Source organism: Homo sapiens, chromosome 16 (genome assembly GCF_000001405.40).
Source record: "Homo sapiens chromosome 16, GRCh38.p14 Primary Assembly".
In the NCBI taxonomy this organism is placed as follows: domain Eukaryota; kingdom Metazoa; phylum Chordata; class Mammalia; order Primates; family Hominidae; genus Homo; species Homo sapiens.
In genome coordinates this window covers 79,968,155-79,973,056 of record NC_000016.10, presented here as the reverse complement: position 1 = coordinate 79,973,056, position 4,902 = coordinate 79,968,155, and the positions used below count along the sequence as shown (strand labels likewise).

At 41.1% G+C, this 4,902-nt stretch overlaps 3 annotated features.

The window, feature by feature from the left end:
- Positions 667-873: a silencer, noted in NCBI's record as "fragment chr16:80006081-80006287 (GRCh37/hg19 assembly coordinates)". NCBI's record gives its function as "represses an EF-1alpha promoter that drives an FKBP-Casp9 reporter gene in an ReSE screen in K562 erythroleukemia cells {active_cell/tissue: K562}" and the evidence as "EXISTENCE:reporter gene assay evidence [ECO:0000049][PMID:32094911]".
- Positions 1,853-1,997: an enhancer, noted in NCBI's record as "145 bp enhancer 24 fragment used in the MPRA reporter construct; PK_construct_3572". NCBI's record gives its function as "activates an SV40 promoter by MPRA in HepG2 and K562 cells {active_cell/tissue: HepG2 | K562}" and the evidence as "EXISTENCE:reporter gene assay evidence [ECO:0000049][PMID:23512712]".
- Positions 1,920-1,930: a transcriptional cis regulatory region, noted in NCBI's record as "NFE2L2 motif; enhancer activity is reduced when this motif is scrambled". NCBI's record gives its function as "necessary for full MPRA enhancer 24 activity {active_cell/tissue: HepG2 | K562}" and the evidence as "EXISTENCE:site-directed mutagenesis evidence [ECO:0005528][PMID:23512712]".

Sequence of the window (4,902 nt, the reverse complement as noted above, 5' to 3'; positions counted from 1 at the left end):
GGAATTTTGATAGGACACAATTCAGTCCATAGTAATTATCATTAATATCTATTTGCAGAGCTCTTCTGTTAGGGTGATTGTCTCAATTTGCCCAGGATGTTTCTGGTTTGGGCATTTAAAGTCGAGTGTCCCAGGAAACTCCTGTTGCTTTCAATACAGAATCCATTCACCCAAAGATCCAAGCTAAAATCCTTAGCCAGCCTAGGGTCTTCCTTCATATCTATCTTCTGCCATCTGATCAACTACCAAATCCAAGCAATTCTAATGTTTATAAACTATCTTTGTTTTGCTTCCATATGTCCATTCTTACTGTTGCATCCATTGGTTATTTTCTCATTATCTCACATCTGAACCATTACAGAATCCTCTAAATTAGTTTTCCTTTACCATAAACCAAACTTGAGCATGAGTCAGAATCTCCTGAGGACTTGTTAAAACACTCATTGCTGCTTGCCTGCTCCCTCCTGTTCTCTGATGGGGAAGGTCTGGGGTGGGGCCTGTGAATCTGCATTTCTAACAGGCCATCCTGATGCTTTGGGGCCCTGAAATTTCAGTTTCAGAGCAGAGTGACTGGTGGTTTTCACTCTGCACATCCAGAGCCATTGGGGAGATGGAGCCTGCTGGAGATTCCAGAAGCATGTGGGTCATGCAGCAATGACACATTCCCATCCAGGGTCCTTTTGTGGACGGCAGAGCTCCACATCAGCAGGAAAGGCCTGGCACCAGGCTAGCTTACTGTCAAGTGACCTGCTCAGCTGTGAACTCTTTTTATCCTCTCCTAGTTCCTGTTCACAACAGTTACTCCTAATGTAAAATGCTGAGTCAGTGACTCTTAACAGACAGTTAGGTTGAGACATCGTGACTTATGATTTGGGCTGCAACATTATCCATCATGCTCATGACCTTGGCATGCTCCAAACTCTTCACCAACCCGGGAGGTAAAGTGAATGTCTCCAAACAACTGGGAAATTGCACGTCCTAAAAATTTTCACCTGATATTAACATATTTATTCACACCAGATCAGTTCTGGATTCTCTTTATTCATTTGTCCATTCATTCATTTGTTCAGTAAGTATTTATTGTGCCTGCTTTGTGTCAGGCATGAGGAATACAATGAGGAAACTCAGAACCTCTTCCAAATTCCATAAGGTTTTGAGTCTAGGGAAATTCCTCCATGTCTGAAATTTGAACAGAAGCTCAACTGTCTTGTTTCTGTTATTTTCTAATATGTATGAGGCAGAGCATCTCCCCTTCTGCTGATAAGCCTCCACATAAACAATTTGACAAAATCCTGAAGTTTCCACCTGCTGCTGTATTCTTAAGATATGGACACACATGCTCTCACATGCACACATCTTTCATGGCACATATTCACCAGTATTTCTTTGGTGAAGCTTCCATCAGTTAATTGTATTAGTTATTGTTACTGCGTAAAAAATTGCCCCAACACTTGTGAGCTGAAAACAGCACACACTGTTATCTCTCAGTTTTTTTGCAATAGGAATCTGGGTTCATTTTACTGATTGGCAACCACTGTCCAATAGTCAATTGTACCATAAGGCTTTATATATATTTAGTCACATATGTAGGTATAGATAGAATCTTCTAAAATTCTAGAAGAAATGAACTAAATAAGCCAAGGCCCTGGAGAGAATTGGCTACACCATGGGAAAGGTGGCATATCTGTGAGAAGACAGGTATTCAATCTATTATATGAGACTTTAGGACATATCATTACTTCTTTGAAAACTCAAGCTTTGCTAGTGGACTCTCCTTATATTAAATGGACCTTAAGATTTCTTTCTAAGAGGGGAATATGAACATCAGCTCTAATTAACTTGGAGGATGTAATTTGCTTAGAGCTGGCTCATGGACATGGTGGCTCCCAAGCTGTTCTGATGAGTCAGCAAACCGTTGAATGACTCAGCACATCTCTTATAATGAGCTTCGAGATATCTACTTTCCAAGTAAAAACGTTGTCTCATAATATGGGAGTCAGAATATGAGGCCATCAATGGGGCCAGAAAATGAGAGTCCAAAATTCAGAAATAGTTACCTGCTGCTATATTTTAACACTGGTAAATGTGAAATTTAAAGTACCCAGACCCATTGTGGGCATTAAGGCATGGGATTGAGTTTATAGAATGCAGGAACGACATAGGAAGCAGGGTTATTAGTGGCTTACTTAGCGTGATAATATCAACTGGTGAACACTTCCCAGGATCCATTCCCACTGATAAGAACTTATCACTGCACATATTGATTGGGGATTTATCTGTACCATCTGTGGCTCTGGAAACTAACGATTTGGGCCTGTGTTTCCTCCAAAGGTGAAATACTGAGAAGCCCCATGTGGATGTGTAGGAAGCTCACACTGATAACTTCTTGTACTCAGGCCAGTGTTGCGAAATGTTTTGTAGGGTAGTTTCTGGGCTGCCGGCCTGGACTAAGAATGTGCAGGGACTGCACGTCCCAGAATCAGAAACGGTGACCTCTTAGCCCAGAGATTCACATGGTCTTGATAGTTGAAAGAATTCCACAAAAGGTGGGGCCCACAACTTCAGCACCAAAAGAGCTCAAAATGTGAACATTTACCCAAATATTTTTTTTAAAAGGCTGTTTATGGCCTGAGAAAGTTTCTGTGGCAGAAACTCTACCTAGAACCTTTTGTAAGAGCTATTTCAATGCCCCGTGCAAACATTTCATGAGCTGAATTGCTAAGGGTCGTTTGAATGACTGAGTGAGGCAACACACACATGAGGTTAAAGAGAATGGAAACCAACAAATGAATGATGATATTTAACATAGATCTCAGCCCTGTCAAAGCACCACGAGAGGATGAGATGAGAAAATGTAAATCTAACACTGATGGCTGTGTGTGTAAACATTCCAGGGTACAACTTGGAATTTCTGAGATAGGGTCAAAGCAGTGAAATGAGGAACAAGTAAATGTTAACATTAATAATCTTTTTTTTTTTTGAGACAGATTCTTGCTCTGTCACCCAGGCTGGAGTGCAGTGGCACGATCTCAGCTCACTGCAACCTCTGCCTCCTGGGTTCAAGTGATTCTCTAGCCTTAGCCTCCTGAGTAGCTGAGATTACAGGTGCATGCCACCACACCTGGCTAATTTTTGTATTTTTAGTAGAGACAGGGTTTCACCATGTTGATCAGTCTGGTGTCGAACTCCTGACCTCAGGTGATCCACCTGCGTCGGCCCCCCAAAGTGCTGGGATTACAGGCGTGAGTCACTGTGCCTGGCCACCATTAATAATATCAATACTGAAAATGCACACAATTTATTGAGAACTTATTATGGGAACAGGCCTTGGGGTAGCTTCTTTATCTATGTATTATGTATCCAAACTGGCATTATGCCAGACAAATATTAGTCTCCCATTTTAAAGGTAAGCAAATCAAGTCTTGGAGAGGTTAAGAAGCTTTCTCAGGATTAAGCACTTACAAGTGGTAAAGCTGGAATTGAATTCAGTTGTATTTGATACCAAGATCGAATTCAAGAACACCATTGAGCCCTGGAATATTTTGGAAATAATGGTGTTATTTCGTTCAATGAGTGTAAATAGGAATTCCTGAGCATCATTTTTGTCAGAGATTTACTAGCTTCCTGCTTGAGTATTCCAAGAATTGGATGGATGCTTCTTCTCAAGGTAGCCCAATTTACTATGGGAGGGAAGAAAATATTTTAAAGTTCTTATTTTAGTCCAGATAGATAGACAGATAGATGGAGGTAGGGTTTGGCTGTGTCCCCTCCCAAATCTCATCTTGAACTGTAGTTCCCATAATCCCCACATGTCACGGGAGGGACCTAGTGGGAGGTAACTGAATCACGGGGTCAGTTACCTCTATGCTGTTCTCATGACAGTGAGTGAGTTTTCATGAGATCTGATAGTTTTATAAGGGGCTTTTCCCCTCCTTCACTCTATACTTCTCTTGCCTGCCACTGTGTAAGATGTGCCTTTGCTTCTCCTTTGCCTCCCACCATGATTGTGAGGCCTCCCCAGCCATGTCTGCAAGTCCATTAAACCTCTTTCCTTTTTAAATTACCCAGTCTTGGGTATGTTTTTATTAGCAGTGTGGGAGCAGACTAATACAGATAGACAGATGGATAAATAGATAGGTATCCTGCAGTGACCATTGGACATATTTGTTGAACTTGAAAAAATGCATATGTTCATGCCTTTAGAAGTACAGATATCTGTTCTGTGGAAAGTGCACCTGAAGGGATTTTAAGGCATATTTCAGCTCAAGAACTTCTTTATTCCAATGAGTTGGCAAACTCTGGGCAGCAGCCAACAGCCAAATCTGGTTTCCTTTTTCTCTCTTTTTTTTCCCAAATCTGTTTTTGTAAATAAAGTCTTATTGAATACTAGCCATGCCTACTTATTTATGTATTATCCATGGTTTCTTTCAAACTACAGTGGGAAGTGTTGAGTCGTCTTGACAGGCACTGTCTGGCCCACAAAACCAAAAATACTTACTGCTTGGCCCTTTACAGAACAAATGTGCTGCCCTCTTTTCTAAAGCAGGAATGTTTATAAAACAAACAAACTAAAAACACCTGGAGATGTTATTAAAAATGCAGATTTTGGAGTCCCACCCAAACCTACTGAGAATAAATTGGGGGAGAGCTTTCCATGCATTTGGGCGAGAACATCAGAGATTCTAAGGCAGGGAAGAGCGTGGCTTATTCATTGGCCAGAAAGTTCTCAGTAGTGCTTGAGCAAAGAGAACAAGGGCAGGGCAGTAAAGGTGCGTTGGGTATATCACACAGGACCTAGTGAGCTTTGGAAGATCTCTGAACTCTATTCCACTTATTGAAAAAAGTGAACGAGTTCAAAGTAAGGACATAATATGAACACATTCATGTTTTAATAGGATGACA